Source organism: Homo sapiens, chromosome 5, assembly GCF_000001405.40.
Source record: "Homo sapiens chromosome 5, GRCh38.p14 Primary Assembly".
NCBI classification, from domain to species: Eukaryota; Metazoa; Chordata; class Mammalia; order Primates; family Hominidae; genus Homo; species Homo sapiens.
In genome coordinates, this window is record NC_000005.10 from 50696173 (window position 1) to 50716693 (window position 20521).

At 35.8% G+C, this 20521-nt stretch overlaps 1 protein-coding gene across 14 annotated transcripts in view, besides 1 other annotated feature; it reads left to right on the forward strand.

The window, feature by feature from the left end:
* PARP8 (poly(ADP-ribose) polymerase family member 8) overlaps positions 1 to 20521 on the forward strand; it is a 180589-nt gene that overhangs the window by 30242 nt on the left and 129826 nt on the right. The window lies entirely within an intron of this gene.
* Positions 15057 to 15406: an enhancer, noted in NCBI's record as "active region_22543". NCBI's record gives its function as "activates an Ori minimal core promoter by ATAC-STARR-seq in GM12878 lymphoblastoid cells {active_cell/tissue: GM12878}" and the evidence as "EXISTENCE:reporter gene assay evidence [ECO:0000049][PMID:35858748]".

Consider the following 20521-nt stretch of genomic DNA (forward strand, 5'->3'; position numbering starts at 1 on the left):
TGTGGGTTAATCTGTCTTTTATTAGTGTATCATCACTTTTTAGACTGTTTGGGCTGTTTTACAGAAATAGCAAAAAGAAAATACATTAAATCAGAATTTATTTAATCTTTACCTAGGTGAAAGCTAAAAGTTTTATGCTAAGATTAGTGTAAACTTGGGTAACTGAAAAATTGTCCCAAGTTTTGAATTAAATTTGGCCACCCAAGGTACCATAGTTTATTGTGTGTGGAAGTATGCATTAAATTTCTTGAATAATCCTCATTCCAGAAGCCCATAATCTTTGTTTGGAAAGATGAAAATGATAAGGCAGCCATAATTATATTATCTAAATACGAAGTAGGATCCTGTTACCCACCAGTAACTTCTCTTGCTCTTTCCCTCTGCAACAGCGTTTCATGCTCTTCATTTTCCCTTTGCTCTGATATCTGTCCTTTGTCCTTACTACTCTGATAGGCCACCTTCTATTTTGCATCTTCATTTTGAAAAGTCTTTTTTTCCTTTGACTTAACTGACATCACTTTCTCCTAGTTCTGTTTGTTTCACGCCATCCCTAATCACTTCTCAGGTTTCTCTATTTCTCTATTTGTACTTCTTTATCTGCTTGCCCCCTAATCTGTTGCTTCTTTCTTAATTGACTGTAGCTTTTGGAATTTCTTCTTTTGCAAATGTAGCTGCCGTCAGCCCCTCAGGACTTAACCTTCCTCTGTAACATTGGACTTAACTGTTCTTGCCTTGGGTGTTCTTTTTCTCCTTTATGGTAGTGAGACCCAACAACAGCTGCCACTCAGCTAGGACATTAAGAAGAATGAGTCTGTGCCGGGCGGGGTGGCTCATGCCTGTAATCCCAGCACTTTGGGAGGCTGAGGCGGGTGGATCATGAGGTCAGGAGATGGAGACCATCCTGGCCAACATAGTGAAACTCCTTCTCTATTCAGATACAAAAATTAGCCAGGCATGCCTATAATCCCAGCTACTCAGGAGGCTGAGGCAGGAGAATCGCTTGAACCAGGGAGTTGGAGGTTGCAGTGAGCCGAGATTGTGCCACAGCACTCCAATCTGGCGACAGAGCGAGACTCCGTCTCAAAGAAAACAAACAAAAAAAAAGAATGAGTCTGAAAACAAGTTCATATCCTTCGGAATAAAAAATTCTCAGGTGTTTGGAAAGTTATTGAATGAATAGAATCCCAGAATCTTATCTGAAAATCCTATCTCATATTTCAAATCCTGTGCAGCAGGATTTTAAAGAAGAAAATCAGTACTTAAATCAGTATGTTAATAAATTAAAAGGCTTATCAATTTCAGAAAGAATCCAAATTATATTTATCGTTATCTTTTCTTTTCCTTAAAATTATTTTCAGACAAGATCTTGCTCTGTCATCCAGGCAGGAGTGCAGTGGCACGATCATGGCTCACTGCAGACTTGAACTCCTGGGCTTAAGCAATCCTCCTGCCTTAGCCTCCTGAGTAGCTGGGAGTGTAGGCACATGCCATCATGCCTGGCTCATTTTTAAATGTTTTGTAGCGGCAGGGTCTTGCTTTGTTGTCCAGGCTGGCCTTGAACTCATGGCCTTAAGAAGTCCTCCTACCTCAGCCTCCCAAAATGTTGATAGTAATAGACGGAGGATATTCAAAGCTATATCTTTTAAGTAATATTCTCATTTGTCTTCAATAATGTGTTTCAGCATATGGCATATATACTCTTGTTACTTTAGTCAACTTTACTAATAATGAAAATAACCACTGTGCTGGTCCAGTGGCACCACTTCCTTTTTCATCTCCTTTGTATTCTTCAGGTTACATCTTCAGTGTCAGGAAGAAAAGCCTTCTGTCTCTCTCTCTCCTTGTGATTAGGTTAAATCTTATTGGAGTTTTCTCATACCATTGCAACTGCAGTTTTACACATTTAGATATGACTATGGAAGATATGACCTTCATGAAGACTTTTGGTGTCATGGATGTAGATGGGTGCTCATGGAATATTTCTCAGTCGAATACACGAGTTAATAAATGAATGAGTTTGGGCTTCACAATTAAATTGGAGGTTTAGATAAGAAAACCTCAGAGAACAAAACATGTATAATATTTTCTAATTGATTTATGTGTCTGCCACTCTGGCAGATGATGAATTCAACATGACCTTTGTACTTGAAGTGTTCATGTTAATCTAAAGCATTCCTTATTGTTTTCAGGGCTACCTGAGAATCCTAGAACATTTATGAATATTATAATTGAAATACTTAGGAATGAATTTCTCTCCCAGCAGGTTCTTCATATCCCCTTCTTATTCCTTATTATCTTCTTACTTCTTATTACTGTGATAAAATGACCCTGTGCTTTATATAAAGCCATAACTTATACCGAGAGTTTTAAATGCAGCAGAATCTCAGTGGAAATAGGATGATACAATTTTTTCCCCCCAAAGCACAGTGGAGAGCAGGAGAAAAGCCAAGGACCACTACCCAATGAAAGAATAATCAGTCTTTTATCCTGATGAGATAGTACCTTTATCCCTTCTCTTAATGGATTGAGAACCCACTGGAAAAACTAAAAGTGAACCAGAAAAATCTCAAAAGGAAGCCATGGGACCAGGAGTTCCTTGAAAGTGTTCAGGGAAAGGAAAGAAAAGGATTAGAAGAGTAGATGTTTAATAAACTATGCCAGCCAAAATGATCTTTAACTTTGAATTAGTTAGCTAAAAATGTACCAAATAAATGTATTCAAGACCTGTTTCCCTTCCCCTAGGGAAGAGTTAGAGCAGGATTTTACCTTGTTTTACAAAAAAGAAAAGTTTATTTTGAAAAAAATTCCAACCTTGCCTCCTCCGAACTATAGTGAAAAGATAATTTTCCACATCCCTTTGTTCAGGAAATGAGGACACAGTGGTGTCATTGGGTTTTGATTGTCCACTTGGAAAAGGTTAAAACCTGTCCTACAGTCATGATGACTTCAGTTCCATTTAAGTGGGGTCCTGTCTCTCTCACTCTCCACCGACTGTACCTTTACTATAACATGGCCTTATATAGATAGCTTTGAGTAAGTGTGTGTTAAATGACTGCCCAAGTGAATGGAAAATTGAGAAGGGCCTCCAGCACTGGAGTATGGAAAGGAGCACTGGGTTCATTGACTCTTTGGATTTCTCCCTTGCTACGTAAGTCCGTTCCCTAAAGGACATGGATCTTGACAGTGTTGGAATCTTCAGAAATAATTGCAATACCAGAAGTTATTTAAGATTTTACCATTTTCAAAGTATTTGTACGTAACACTTTCATATGTTTTTGTTTCCTAGCTACCTCAGTTTCCCTGTTGGCTTGAGCAGATTAGTGTAAAGAGGTGGTGACATCAGGGGAAACAGGTTTACTCAGCCATCTTCATTACCATATTATCACTGACTTGAGGCTCCTCCCACATGCATTCCTTAAGAGGTTATTGTGGGTCACCCAAATTATTTACAGCCATCTATATTATCAATATATTGAAACACAAGTGTGCTCTATGGAATAAATCTTAGGCTTGAATGTGATTATATGGGCCTCTGTTGAAATGCAGATTCAGATCTATTGAAAGATCTGAGATGGGCCAAGATGGGATGGACATATTTTTAATAAGCTCCTAAAAGTGAGCTGATGCTGCGGGACTATGGACCATATTTTGAGTATCAGTATCAAGTTGCTAGGACATAAGAGGTCTCGGTTCAGCTGAGGCCTGTTGGTTTCTACTCTGCCTGACACATTGTTGACAGGATAACATCATCACCCACTGGATGAGTAAAAGTTCCATTAACTTGCAAAAAGGATAGATAGCATGACTCATGGAACCTGTCTTCATTTAAAATTAGTGAAGTAAACTAGACTAAATAGTCATCCATTTTTAAAAGTCCAAATATTAGGCATTCTGGTGAGAAACATTAGTCTTTGATGGTTCACTTGTTCAAGAAAATAGTGGGATTTAAGTCTTAAATCATTACTTGTCCTCTTTCCTTTATACCAAGGCCCAGAAGTGCCAGAATCAGCTTCTGGAAAAAGTAATTGCACTGGTTTAGGGGTGAAAAGGTAGTATTTTTTATCTGTTGCTACTATGCTGAAAAGTGAACTTACCTTTAAATGGTTTTCCTCTTTGAAATTCTCTGAGAGGATAAAGCTTCTCTGTAGCAAAAGCCAAGTTTCATCTAACTATTGATTATTCTGTAGATAACTTCATTCACAGTTGGGAGACAAGATAATAAGTTTAAAGATAAAAACTTCTTTCCTTGAGTAGCCTGTGGTTTCTAATCGTAAATTTTTGTTTGATCCCACTATTGTGGGTCACCCAAATTATTTACAGCCATCTATATTATCAATATAATGAAAACACAAGTGTGCTCTGTGGAATAAATCTGTAATGCAGTGAAATTGGAGACTTAATTTGAGCAACTACAAGGAAATAAACATACTGTGATCTAAATTTACTAAACAATGCTTTAAGGCAAGTATTTAAATTGGTAAGAATTGGATTGGTTTTCTCTTAACTGTTTGCAGTCTCTTGACTATTGCTTATATTTAATAACTGAATATTTGTGTTGGGGCATAATTACTCAAAATTACGTTTTTCTTCCTGCGAATACAATGTTAATGTAGTAATGCTAACTCAGCTACTCTTTCATAAACTTCCATGTCTTTTTTTAATCTGGCAAAAGCCTTCTCTCAGGATAATCATTATGCTCGGTAATCCTCACCGTCATACTTGAAGTAGTTAATAGATAATCCTCCAAGCAGCACTCCAGATCCATCTGAGTACCCAGTAAAACACTTCTTGATGCTATTGGAGTTTTCTGAATTTCTTTATCTGGGAGACAATGGAAATTCCATGGAGAATTTCTTCTATTAGAATGTATATTCAAATCTTACATTGTTTGAGTACCCTCTTCTAATCTTAAATATGGTTTCCAGATGTGAATTGACTTTACAGATTTTTAATCTTGGAGTCCTTAATGAACACAGATTAAAGATTTGACAGCCTACGTTGTTGACTCCCTCTCCACTCATTTCTTTTTCTTAAAAGAATGATAAAATGGAACGGGTTTCATATAGTTATTGTTAATAATAGGAGACTGTTCTGGTAGTGGCTATAAGGATATGTATAAGTGGATGGATTGAAGAAACATTTACTGCAAAATTATCAGAAATTGGTGTTGATTGGATGTGTGGGATACGGATCATGGTACATCAGTAAAATAAAGTTATGCTTTGGCATAGTGAATTTGGTTATCTGGGGATAAAGTTTTTAATTCTTCAAACAAAAAGAAAATGCTTTTTATCTGAATTCTCTTTATAATTATTTATTTGCTCCCCTTTGCATAGTTTTCATAAGTGGCATGCAATATATATGGATTTCTAATTATGTAACTCCATTTACAGTTTGAATAACTATTTTAGAAGTGACTTTGACTAATAAGATTGGTTCTTTTAAAATCTGGAAAATTCATGAGGTTGTTAAAGAGATAAAGTTAGTTTGGAAAGGCCATTTAAATAATGTGTTGATTAATATATCCAAAATAAACTATTTGCTTTTCTGCGTAGATATAGCTACATCCTACAAAAATCTTGCTTCACTCAAGGGGCTTCAGATAGGGTACCTGCTGAGTTTTTTGTTGTTGTTGGTCAGTAACATGGTTATATACAAGCATTTAGAAATTCTTCGTTTCTTATTTAGAACCTAAGATCCTTTTGTATCATAATTTTGTTTTAAAACTTCAAGAATTTGACCTAGTTCTTATAGTTCTGACTCACAAAAATAATGGCCGTAATTGGGGAGTTATAATCATTTTAGCTTGGAAAGATAAACTATTACATTTTTCTGGTTTTGACAACTGACCTTCTTAATAAAATGACATGAAGTTTTCCTGCAGAAATGTAATTTAAAAACTGATGAAAATGTATTCCTATTTACTTGTACTATTTATGTAAGTATTCGTTTGCTTTTTCTTTAGAAATAAAAGGAACATCTCTTAACTTTTAAAAAATAACATTTAACATCAATTAAATCTTTTTTAATTACACTAAGAAAGGACAATAAATTAAGTTTTTTTTAAAAAAGATAAGTATTACATCACAGTTGATCACATAATTGCAGTAATTTACTTATCATGTGACAATAAATAACTTGATCTGTGATCCCTGATAAAGCATAACAGTAGAAAAATCCTTTGATGGGATAAATATGTTTCTGTTTTATAGGTGACCTCTAGAAACTATCACCTTTAATCTCACACCTGCCTGGAGAGTTGAAAGTAGTCTGAAATGATGATTTTCAGGGCTTCTCATTTTGATATGTGATTTTCTAGGGCGTTTTTATTTTCTAAAAAGTATTTGAAATTCATTCTAAGTCAAAATGCCCTGATTCACTCAAAACTTAGAAGATGAGGCTCTTGCTTTTGACATCTTAGTCTTAGCACTACTAGAAAATGTATAAAATCTGTAATTCCATTGCTGTAACACTGCTCTTTCCCTCCACTTAGATTCATTTTCTACTTACTTTAACAAATATATTAGAAATTGTGTTTTTAATTAGTGTAGTGTCAGCATTCTTTAATTCTCCTGTAGAGCTAATTGAGGTATCACATAGTACTTAGTGCAAAAACAACCATTAGGTAAACACGTCCGTTACACAGAAGAGGAAGTGGTGAGGAAAATATCTGTCTTTAATTCTCCTATCGTTCCTTAAGTGCTTCCTCTGTGCTGGGCACATGGCTGTAGTGGTGACAGGGCTGCCTGGAACCCTGTCCTCATGGAGCTTGGCATCTAAGTGAGACCAGCAGACAGAGAGTTGTACAAACAAACCAGATAATTACAGAAGATAAAAAGTGTTATAGGCCAGGTGATGTGGCTCGTGCCTGTAATCCCAGCACTTTGGGAGGCTGAGGCGGCAGCATCACTTGAGCCCAAGAGCTCAAGACCAGCTTGGGCAACATGGTGAAACCTAATCTCTACAGAAAACACAAACAATAGAGGGGTGTGGCAGCCTGCACCTTAAGTCCCAGCTACTTGGGAGGCGGAGGTGGGGAGATCGCTTGAGCCCAAGAAATTGAGGCTAAATGAGCCATGATCACACCACTGCACTCCAGCCTGGGTGACGGAGTGAGACCGTGTCTCAAAAAAAAAAAAAAAAGTCTTGTAAAGGCAGATTAACATGATGATATCATAATCACTGGGAAATGCTATTTCTGATTAAGAAATAATTTGTCTTCATCATTTATTCTGTATGGATATGAGAGATGATATTTGAACTGTCCTGCTCAATGAGATCATTTCTTGGAGGTCTCCTTAGGGGGGTTTGATTTCTTCCTTGAAGGATTCATGATTATTATTACTGCCACAGCTTATTCATCATTCCACACATACTTATTGAGGGCCTGATGTATTTCAGCCTCTATTCTCGCTTGGGAGAACAAAGCTGTGAAATCCCCTGATCTCAGTGAATTTGCCATGTGTTCTCTACTGTTTTAATAAAACCCACTTTCCAGGCTCTTCAGTTGTATAATGGTCTAACTCTATACATTCGTTTTCCAACCTGGGCAATGCAGGGAGACCCTATCCCTACAAAAAATTTAAAAGTTAGCCAGGTGTGGTGTTGTGCACCTGTGGTCCGAGCTACTCTGGAGGCTGAGGTGGGAGGATTGTTTGATCCCAGGAGGTCGAGGCTGCAGTGATCACTGCACTCTAGCCTGCATGATAAAATGAGACCCTTTTTTTTTTTTAAATTTCATTCTTCCAACATGAATTTTCCATATTTAAACATGATTTGTAGGAGAAAGCACCTGCTATATACAGCAAGATATAAAATTCAATTGATTACTTATTATGATCTATTTTATTGTTGCTAATCTTTTGACATGTATTTAACATTTGTTTAACTTGTTTTCTTAATTCACATTCAGTCTTTTTTTTGCAGTAAGAAATTGTCCAGCTTGTGCACTAGCAGAGAGGTTGCCAAATCTGCCTTAAGCTGGAGAGTTTAGCTTCCTTTACCCTTTGAAACTTGAGGCACATCTAAGTCCCGAGAGATGTGATATTTATTACTTCTTGTGGCTAGCTCTTGTGTATAGATATCCTCACAATTTTCCTTGGTATATGTAGATCCTGGTCACCAATCTGACAGTCAAAAAAGGCCACTTAACTATCTTCTGTCAGGACATAATCAGAAAATGTTGTTGATTTTTCTGCCGTCTTTGAAAAACTGCTCTGACCAAGATATAATTACCTAAGTGAGCACGTGCTCACTTACCTTATTTGAATCTTCACTCCTTATATGCTCACCTCTAAACACTTGCAGTGATAATTTTAACATTTTATTTCTGAAAGTGATTTCTTTACTCTACCCTCCCCCAAATGGTAGCCACTAGCCAAAAGTGGCTTTCGAGCACTTAAAATGTGACTGGATTGAGACGTGCTGTAAGTGTTAAAGTACACACTGGATTTGAAAGACTTAGTGTAATAAAAAGAATGTAACATATCTCATGAACATTGTCATATTGATTGTATATTGGAATGATAGTGTTTTGGCTGTATGGGACTAAATAAGGTATATTATTAAAACTGATTTCATCTACTCTTTACCTTTTTAATGTGACGATTTAAAATTGCCAACGTAGCTTGCAATATATTTCTTTTGGACAGTACTGCTTTAAAATAGGAATGCATATGGAATGTTCAAAATGGTTTTGGAAGCCTGGATTCGTTGATCTATTTGAAGAGTTGCAAGATTACTCTAGAGCAGTGTAATGTGTAAATTTAGAACTACTTCATGATCAATGATTTACTTCCTTGTAAAGCAAGTGAAAGCTTTAATATTGCATGTGGGACAAATATGACATTTACAAATGGGCAAATTTCAAACTGGACAAAGCAGTGTCTTCATTGCCATCCAGATTATCTGCTCAATATAGATTGAAATTTTAAAAGTAAGTACCTTTATTACTTTCAAAAATAGTTTACTGTTTAAAACAGTTGCTCTGTCTTAGGCAGCATGGCTCAAGAGAATATGTGATTTTAGGAGTAAAAGATAAAAAGAACATGTTAATGCTTTTTGGTCAAACATCTAGAAACTATTTTCTGTAATATCTGGCTCTGCTATGAAGAAAAGAGGTGAGCCAGGTTGCTGACAAAAATTGGTGGGCAAAGAAATAGGGATAGAAGTATATTATTTCAAGTCACCAAGGTGCAAAACAGTTGAAAGATTAAAAATAATAGTGTCTATATTATATATAAACAATGTGAAGGTGGTAAAATAAGAAGATATAAATGATATGGAGAAAACCGGAGAGGAGCTAAAACTAAATAAATTTAAAAGGAATTGATGGGGCCAGTGCGGTGGCTCACACCTGTAATCCCACTTTGGGAGGCCAAGGCATGTGAATCACTTGAGACTAGGAGTTTGAGACCAGCCTGGCCAATATGGTGAAACCCCATCTTTACTAAAGATACAAAAATTAGCTGGGCGTGATGGCGTGCGCCTGTAATCCCAGCTACTCGGGAGGCTGAGGCATGAGAGTCTCTTGAACCAGGAGGCAAAGGTTGCAGTGAGCCTGATCAAGCCACTGCACTCCAGCCTAGGTGACACAAGACTCTGTTTCCCAAAAAAAAAAGGGGGGTTGATGGGTCTGGGCTAGGACTTGACTTTCATCATAAACTACTTATACTATTTGATTTGTTGCCATTTGCCTGCATTTCATTGATACTTTTATGTATCCATTCTCCATATGGAGGGTCAGTTAGAAGGTTTTCACCCATTTATCATGCACAGTCCTTCAGTGAGAATCTTTGTATCTCCTTGTGTACTTGTGCTAGACTCTCTTGAGGGTAGGTTTTAAAATGGACTAGTTGGATTAAGATATGCTCCTGCTTAACAATTGCTTTCTAAATTGGTTCTATCAAATTCTACTCGAGGTAGAAAGGTACTGTTTCCCCCATTCTTGCCAATAACTGATGTTATATTTTAAAATTGGTATCAGTGTTATATGTTAAATCATATCCCATTGTTATTTTAATTTGTACCTACTGATTATTAGTGAGTTTGGGTTTTTTTCAGTTTATTGAAAGTTTGGAATTTTATTTCTGTGACGTTTCATATGCTTTTACATATATTTTATTGAGTTTTAAATATTTTTTTCTGAGTAAATTTTAGGAAACCTTTATGTTTTTCAGATGGCTGGTTTTTGGGATGTAGAAGTTTTCATGTCTGGTATCAATTTTTCTAGCCTGAAAAATTATTTAATTCTCTTCCTGTCCCATTTGACCATAGCTGGAGCCTTTTGATGGTAAACTTCTTAGGATTGTTAATATCAGAAACAAGCCTACTTAACAGTAATTTTAGTGATTAAGATTTTAAGAGCTCAAAAGTTTGGATTTGAGTTCAAGATCTTCATCATTTTGGGTAGTTATTTATTTTATTTTTTGTTTTTGCATTTAAGACTATTTTCTCAGCATATTATACCTGTAATTGAGTAGTTATGTAGTCTTTCCAGTTTCTGAATAGGAATAACAATATGTTATAGTACACATAAGCACACACTCACATGTACAAATACCGCAGAGCTTGGGACAGTATCCACAATAATTTGAAGTAATAATAAGAAGAAAGAGAATAGCACCAAGTATGTTCATTTTTTGAAAACAGATACCTTTTACCAGAGTGCTTTTACTTAAGTAAAACTTGGTTAACTGATTAGCATTACCTAATTCAGATTCTAATAGTGCATTATGATGCTAGCATACAGTGATTGATTTCTGTAATTTTCATATACTAGCACGCATATATCTTGCTTATGGAAATCATTACTCAAGAGTTTCACAATTTACACAAAAATCTATATAGCTGCTTTTTTATTGGATAGTCTTAAGTGTTAGATTTGCATATATTTATGTAGCTCACTAAATCAATATGTTCTTTGTAAACTGATATAAAACCTTTTTTGTACACATAAGAACATTTACTGATTTAATAAATCAGACGCTTGTCAGACATGCATCAGTGTAAATTGTTGTTTATATATAATGTAAGCACAATTCTTTAGATACAGTATATAATTCGTCATTCAATTAACATAAAGATATAATCAGTCAGTAGTTTATCTCCCAAGGTTCAACTCCTGCAGGAAAGAAACTGTCTTTGATACATAGAAATTAAAACATTTAATGATTTTCCTAAAGTGCTTTTGTATTCTGTAGAGCTTTAAATTTAGATTTTTTATTTTTTGTACTCATTTCACAGTAACAATTAAGTAGACTTGACAGCTACCTAGAATTCATAATCTTTTTCTCAAAAACAGTGGCAAATTGTGAAGGTTTGATTAAAATTCTTAAGTCATTAAAGCTAACCTTTTAAAATCTGAATGTAATTAATTGAATGATTTGAAGATTTACCCTTTGGAAGATATTCCAAGGAGATATGAGATAGAGAGATAGAGATAGATAGGGGAGACAGAGAGAGAGAGAGAGAGAGAGAGAGAGAGAGAGAGAAAATGCCAGTATTATCCTGCTTTTATTGGCATGCAGTTGCCTGATCTCCTCTTGTTTTCTTTGGGGAGTTAGGCAAAAATTTATGTATTTCTTCAAGTAAGCACATATTTGATTACAAAACCAAACAGTACTAAGAGTCTTATATCAACCTTATTTAACGTATTTTAGAACAATATGCGTGAGTTGCACTTTATTGACATAAGTTTTAGACAGTTTCTATTGAATGCCTGTTATATTATTGAGTATTTATCTTTCTTACATTTCCTTACCACACGATCTCGCACCATAGCCACTTCAGAATTTTTGGTTGCATCACTAATCAGCATATTACAATGACTGTACTGTTACACCATAAGTATATATTTTTTCTTCTACTTTTTATTTTTCCTATAGTTAAAAATTGCTTATCATTTTTCCCATTAGCTTGTATTTTGCTGTGTGTCCATTATTGTTTTTTCCCTAATAATTTAAGAACATTAGTCATGGTTCTCAATAATTTTCCTAAATAGTCTAACACATCAAATAAATTATCAATAATGAATTAGTTTTGCCTTCTCCTCCACCCTAGAGACCTTCCCAGAGCTCTCCTTTTTTCTTGAGTCTGAACCATATTCTCTGAGAGTATGATGCACATCTGTTGTCATGTGTCATATTCTCTTTTCTGGATGCCATATTCTTCTTGTTTTACTGAAACATAGCACTCTTTGTAAAGAAAACTTTATTCTTTGTAAAGAAAAGTTGTATCGAAGGTCATTTTTCTTTTTTTTAATCTCTGCATGTCTAAAATACCTTTATTTTACCCTCATTTTAATTAATAGATTGAGAAGGTATGGAATTCTGTGTTAGAACTCATTGTCCCTTATAATTTTGAAGATTGCTCAATATCCTACTACTGTGCAGTGTTGCTGGTTAATCTAGTGCTTTTCTAATTTCTTTATATGTAACTTACCTTTGTATATCTTTGAAGTTTATCAAATCTCTTTTTCATCCCTGAAGTTCTGAAATTTCACATTGATATGGCTTGATGTCAACTTATAAAAAATACCTATCAGGCTTGGTGTTTACTGCAAAGCCCTTCACTGTGGAGACTCCTGTCTTAGGAATTTTTTTTTTTCAATTATTGTTATTATTTTTTAGAGACAGTGTCTTACCCGTCAACCAGGCTGGAGTGCAGTGGCATAATCATAGCTCACTGCAGCTTCAAACTCCTGGGCTCAAGCAATTCTCCTGCTTCAGCCTCCCAAGTAGCCAGGACTACAGGCACTTGCCACCATGCCTGGCTGATTTTTTATTTGTTATTTTGTAGAGACAGGGGTCTCAATATGTTGTCCAGGCTGGTCTTGAACTCCTGGCCTCAAGCAATCTTCCCACCTCAGCCTCCCAAAGTGCTAAGATTACCAGTATTAGCCACCGTGCCAGGCCAGGACATTTTCTTGTATTTATATCTTTGATAATATTCTCTTACCTCCTTCTACTCCTTTTTTGGGGTCTACCATTGAAATTCCTGTAGTGATACTCAGTTTCTTATATTTACTTTCATATTTCCCACCTCTTCATCTCTTTATTCTGCTTTTTCAAGATTTCTTCATTTTTATGTTCCAACCATTTTGTTGCATTTTTAAGTTTTGACATATTTTAAATTTCCAAAGGCTCTTTTTAAATTCTTTCATTTTTTTCTTTTTCTTTTGAAAATGCTTTTCAGAGCATTTTGTTCTTGTTTCATGTGCCAAGTATATTCTGGTTATCTATATTTCTTTTAAGTACATTTAAGTTTCTTCTGTTCCTTTCACTGCTTCTGTTTCCTCCAAGTGTCATTTTTTTTTATTTCTTCTTGTCTTTCATATTCATGTTGTAGGCTTTTCTCAAATGTCTACTGATCTTTCAACTGTCTATTCACATTTAAGAGTAAGGTAGTGGGAAACATATTTTAATAATAATGTAAGCACCATGGTAGGAGATAATCAGTAAAATTCTTGAGTGCAGTAGCCACAGGCTTACAGTGTCTTCACTCTGACTCATCCAGAGATTAAATTTGCTCGTTCCACAAAAAAATGCCAGTGTTATTAAGCCCTGGTACTGTTGCAAAAATATAAAAAGGAGAAAAGAAAAAGACCAAGGAACCAAAAGAGAGATAAATAGACAAAGAGTCAGAGATGGATGGATGGACTGTTTGTACAAGAGTGTGTGTGTGTGTGTGTGTGTGTGTGTGTGTTTGTGTTGGGGGGGAGAGACTATGAGAATATGAGGTAGAAAGAGTGTATATATATATATATATATATATATATATATATACACATACATATATACACACACACACATATATATACATATATACACACACACATATATACACACATATATATGTATGTTTGAGATGTTTGTGAAATATGCTTAATGACCCTTTAATAAGGAGAAACTGTTTAGATTTTGGACAGAGACAATTCATATTAATAATTTTTTTCTGGGGCTAATTATTGTGCTTTCATTTTATTACATCTTTGTGCTCCTGATGTATTTTCTCAGTTATTTAAAGGTGTTGAAACAAGCACCTTCCATTAGTTCATTACTTAGTGCACATTTTTGCTGCTGTTATCATAGGGAGATCCAGTTGCATGTCTGGTTTAATCTGAAATATAAATTGATTGTTTTTGTACTTTCATGGATCTTTTCTTAGAATCCATCTCCCACTGACTTTTATCTATATTTTGAGGTGAGTTTTGAGGCAGTGGTTGCTTTTGCCTTAGAACTTTATCAGCAATAGTAGTAAAGAAGTAGTCACATGCTTCATGCTTCTTATTTATATCTTTTTTTATTTAGAAGGAAACCTTTTTTAAAAAAGTTTTTTTTCTAAATTAAATAAACCTTTTTTATTTAGAAGAATCAGAGATTAGAATGGGTTCAACACCTGATGGTCTGATGGTACTTAGATCTTACTGGGTCCTGCTAATTCTCATTTCTGGTCTGGTAGGAACCTTTTAGAGAGAAATAAGGATCAGCTTGTTTTTGTGTGGATGCTCTTTTGTTGTGTGAATTGTCTTGGACTTCATTCTCCCTTTTCAAAGTATCAATATTTAAATATAACAGATTTAGCAGTGTAACTCTGGTGTAGACTTTTGAAAAAGAACACAATTTTTGTTTCTGTGTCTGCAACCTACATATGTGATTGAAAATTTTTATATCTAACAGGTTCTACTTTTGATGACTTATTACCTAGCCACAGTGTATCTGTTTCTATCTGTAGCTTTATAACTATCTGTCAATCATTTATCCATATCTATGTCTCTATCTGTACATAAACACATATACATATGTGCCTGTGCATACAATCAAATGTGTATATTTGAATGCTTTCCTAGCCTCAGCATATATTAGTGTGTTTAACTACCTTGTGGTGAATTGTTTGTTGCTACTGGTCGTCTGTAAAATAGCATCTTGATTCCTCCTCTGATAAACACAATTATGTTATTATGAAACTTTCCTCTCTCGTTTTACCTCCTTAGAGCTTGGGAATTAGGCCAATTGTAGAGCTAAGTCTTCTGATAGTCTTGCTGTTTTAAATATTATTGTCTATCAGCCATTCATTACTACCTTTTTCCATGCAAAGGGAACACCAGTGTTGTTCAAGAAATCATACCTTAGTGAAAATGCATGGCCCTCTCTCCAGCTCAGGAATAAAAGCCTATTAGTTTAATTCAGTCATGTGACTTGTCCCTCTGGCCTGCCTTCTCCCTCCTCCCCTAACTGATTGATTCAGGGCTGTCTAGGAACTTCTCTCTGGCCTCTGAAATGTGAGGAGTTTGCTCTGTGGCTTCTGGGGCTGACTTTCATTTTCATTTCTGGATGTGATATTGGGACTGCAGCACCTGTCATGTGGGCCACACGGGAAGTTAGCCCAGATGTAGTTTGAAACTGCTGCTATACTGTGAGAAACAGAAAGACAAAATGGGCAGAATTTGAGTCTTTGGGAATGAGTCCTTGGTTGAGCCGCTGAATTAATAATAGACCTCCTCACCCCGCCCTAAACCCCAACCCTCCTGCCCATAATCCAACATACATTTCTGCACTTATATGAGAAAATCAAGGTCCTTATGTTTAAAGTCAATTCAGTATAGGTTTTTGACAGTTGCAGCCAAAAGCATTATTGCTGAGACACATCACTGCTTTACCTTTTATTTCTGTTTTCCATAGTGATTATTAACAGCTGTTAACTTCTCTTTTCTCTTTTAAGCGAGTAGAGTAAATCATAGGCCAGGCTATTTATCTAGCATTACTGTGATAATAATAAACCTTCTGAGAAACAAAAATCTAAATGATTTTTCTGCAAAGTTGATTTATCTGCATCCTGAAGGACCTCATTACTTCTTCCACTTCTGACAGATATTTATGGTGCAATATAAGTTTATTCTTTATCAATTTTAAGAGTAGTAAGTTTTATTAATCTTCACTTTATTCAGAGTGATTTGAAATAGATCACAAAGTGAAATGGCAGAAACTAAATTATGTTATGTCCAAAATAATAAGAACAGCATATGCTGACCTTTGGCTGTTGGTTACCATTTTGTAGGCTCCTCCCAGGATTATATATTTAGAAATAGATATTTGGCATTTTATACTTTAAAAAACCCAACTTCTGGGAAATCTTCTGTTTCCCTACAATAAATATGTACAGTTTTGTGGAGCACCTATAATACAACAAAATGAATTGGTCATGTTTTTCATGCTTCAATTATTGTACCGTTGATGGCAGAAACTAACAGGAGCTTTTTAGAATCTATTCAACTTCATATTGTTTTTGTGTTAATATCAGACAACATTTTATTATAAGAAATGTACAAAATAGTAAAAGTTGCAAAGATTCTTGGCAAAACAGTTGACCAGATTTTTAAATTATTGTAGTTCATGATTTCCTCATTTACTCATTCAGTAAGCACTGAGGACCAGGCTCTGCAGGCCACCCTGAATATAGAAGAGTCCCTGTCCTGAAGGCATTCACAGAGCAGGGATGAGATAAAGCAGCAAACATTATAGTATAATGTCATAAGTGACAAGATAAGTGCAGGGAGCCACGGGAGCATGCAGGGTGAGAAAGAAACAAATATGGATCTGGTGGTCAGAAGGAGAAGAAAGATATTTTGGTATAAGGACTGTTTAAAACAGGAAAGAAGGAGGAACAAGGTTTTTTTTTTTTTAAGTTTTGTTGCTAACATTAGGCTTGATTTTATTGTGTTTAGGAGATTTTTTTTTTATTTATGTTAGTGGCATGAGGTAAAGTATTATAATAAACTCAATACAGAGATGTAATAATAACAACTAAAATTTATTCAGTGTTTCTGTGGCAATTAAAAGAGTGAGTATAAGTGCCAGATGGCTTGACTTTCAAAACCACTCATGTCAGATATTTGCTGTGTTATTAGGTTTAGGTATATTAATTGTGCTTTATTTTCCCCATTTATAAAATGGCTGTGAGAGTCATCTATATGTTATAGATCTGTGGTGATGTTTCAATAAGTTAATTATCCAAAGGACTTACAAGAGTGCTTATTCATATTGAGTGCTCAATAAACTTTAGATATTATTATTATTATTATTATTTTGAGACAGGGTCTCACTCTATTGCCCAGGCTGGAGTGCAGTGGTGTGATCTTGGTTCACCACAACCTTGGCCTCCTGGGCTCAAGCAGTTCTCCCACCTCAGCCCTCCAAGTAGTTAGGACTACAGGCATGTGCCACTATGCCTGGCTAATTTTGGTATTTTTTGTAGAGATGGGGTTTTGCCTTGTTGCCCAGGCTGACCTTGAACTTCTGGGCTCATGTGATTTGCTCCCCTGTGCCTCCCATAGTGCTGGGATTACAGGCGTGAACCATCACACCCAGCTATTATTATTATTTGGATAATCTCATTTAATTTTTTCATTAATCTGATAATATAATGTGGTAGACAGAATAATGGCCACCAAGATATCCACATCCTAATCCTGGAACTTGTGAACATATTACCTTATATGGCCAAAAGGAATTTACCAATATGATTAAATTAAGATTTTGAGATGGGGGGATTACCTTGATAATTATGTTGAGCCCAGTGTCATCACATGGATCCTTAGAAGAGGCAGGCGAGTCAGAGAAGGAGATGGGATGAAGGAAGCAGAGGGATAGAGTCAGAGATCTGAAGATGCTCTGCTGCAGCCTAGCAAGATGGAAGGAACCATGAGGCAAGGAATGTGGGCAGATTCTAGAACCTGGAAATGAAAGGAAATGGATTTTCTCCTGGAGCTCCTGGCAGGAATGTGGCCCCCCTGACATCTTGATTCTGGTCTGGTTGAACCCATTTAATTGGAATTCTGACCTACCAGATCTGTAAGATGATACATTTGTGGCATTTTAAGCCACTGATGATTTTTCTTTTCTTTTCTTTCTTTCTTTTTTTTTTTTTTTCCCCAGAATTCATCAAGCACAAAGTTTATTTTGAGGGTATCTGAGTCTGGTTTTCAGAAGAATGCCTAACCCATGTTGGGAAGAGCCCCACATTTTCTTCTCTGTCAAGACTTTTTGGAACTCAATACCTTACACACAACAGCTCACCAACACCGATTGCTGCTTGGCTCAACATAGACAAATAAATTCAAGCTAGGAAGAAGGGATAGGAAATAAGACATTGAAATTCTATCACTATCTTTCCATAATCCTCTTAGAACAGAATTACAGTTTTTCTTTTCTATTTTTTAAACCATTTATTTATTTAATTTTCTGTTTTATTTTACTTTAAGTTCTGGGATACATGTGCTGAACATGCAGGTTTGTTACATAGGTATACATGTGCCATGGTGGTTTGCTGCGCCTATCAACCCGTCATCTAGGTTTTAAGCCCCGCATGCATTAGGTAGCCACTGATTTTGCACAGTATCAATAGAAAACAAATACAAATAGGCATTATTTCCATGTCACAAAGGAAGGAATGTGTTCTGGGGGATTAAGTTATTGCCAAGATTATTGGAAGCTGTGGGGTGCCCACAGGGCTGTGGACTGATAGGCTTTATGATGGAAGCAGTCACACAGAGAAGGAACCAGGGCTTTCCAACTCTATGTGCAGCCTTCCAAGCAGCCCCTGATTTTAGCCTCCCTCCTGCAGCTGACTGTGTGTACAAGACTGGGGCTTTTCCAGGGTCTTTAAGGCAGCCACTGCTTCTGTTATCCTTAGCTGTCATTCCTGTAAGAAGCCCACCACTAGCTTTTCCACACTGTTAGATCACTTCACATTTTTCTAGCCCCTTGTCTTTTTCTAAAAGTGGTAGAAATCTGTCTTCCATGGATTCCTCTTTCATTCTTGCTGTCTTTGTGAATTTATGCTTTTTTTTCCTTTCATTTTCTGTAATTTTAGTAAGAGTTCATCAGGAAACAGTCATCAGTGGCCAGCTAACTATTCCCAACTCAAGCAGCATATCAATTTTTGACCCATGGCAGTGCCTCCTCTCACTTCAGCACTCTCAAAAGACTGCTGCAAACAGTAACGTAAATTCACCCAACATGACCGCAGTGCAAAAGCGTCTCACATGGTCTTTATGAAAGCACCCACAGTTATCGCTCTTTAGTAACCTTTCCATACAGTAGAACAGTAGGCAGGAGGCAAAATGCTCCTCCACACTCTGTCAAAATATGTGTGATGGATATGTTTCATATTTTGGATAAGTTCCTATGAATTCACCTATATTTTTATAACCGTTCTAGGAATTTATTTATACTTTCATGAGCTCCTTCCTCATATTTGAGGAGAGAAGGGAAATTGTAGTGTATACTTTTTGTGGGGGGTTGTGGTGTGTGTCAGAGTGTCATGGTATTCATGAGGATCTAGTATAAAAGCTTGTGATTACTGCAAATAAAGATGACCAAAATTGGTCACTTAATAAGTAACAGATAACATGATTAATCAAAATTTTAAAATTTGTGTTTTTAAACAATTATTTTTCAGACCTCTACACCACAGACAGTAGTAACAAGGGGAACAGGTAAATATTGAGAGAATATAAAAAACTTTAGTGTTTAAATTATAATACATAGTATGTTTACTTTTTAACTTATGTTAGCAAATTTCTATGCTTGTATGAAATTGGCAGTTGAAACTATTAGATTTTTTACAAACAGTTATGTCCAGAGCTTCTGTCTCCTTCTTTTCAGTCTCAAGAATAATATAACCTTTTTTAAAAAAATACTACCTTCTTCATACATAATGGGTAAAGATAAGCACTATATTGGATCCTTATTTGAAGTGTTCAGTTCCCAGCTTTCTCAGTGTAATTCCATTCCTCTTTAACTCCCACTTGGACAAAAGTACATATGAATGAATAAAATTGATGTTGTAGCAAGAATCCAAAATTTACTGTGCTTTATCGAAATGAGTAATTCTTTCCAAAAACTTGCTGTGATTCAAATGATCATGTTATATCCCCATGTTTCCACATAGAGGCTGAGAATAGTTAACTTGGAACCTTCTATGGAGAAGGGAAGAGGCTGGTTATTCCTTACATTAGAATACAAAGGAAGTTAAATTACAAAGGAAGATGACTATGATGTGGCATAGAGTTTTACAAGTGAGATAATAATTATACGATATAGGGTAGTTCTGATTATCAGAGAACAAAGTTCCAACAAATTGAGTTTAATGATCTAATTGGCTTTTATTAGTGATTCATGGATTGGGCGGCTTCTCCTCTGTGAAGTAGGAAGGTGCTCTGCTGAGCTGAGCAGAGGGAGCTGGCTTTATAGGCAGAAAAGGACTGAATTAAGAACAAAAAGTAGATTAATTGTTTCAAAGTTACTTTCCCTACAGGGTAAAAACAGAGGGGATTTCTTTATCATGCTGGCTCAGGTAGACTAGGCCCTTTTCTGTTGGAATCTCCTATTTTATTTTGAAAATTGGCCCATTTTAAAATTCAGCTTATGTGACACCTAGCATGAATGACTCCATTTTAGTTTTGTCTGGTCTTTGGGCTTAGTGCAGGAGCTTAGTCCAAAACAGTGGCCTGTGGTAGGAA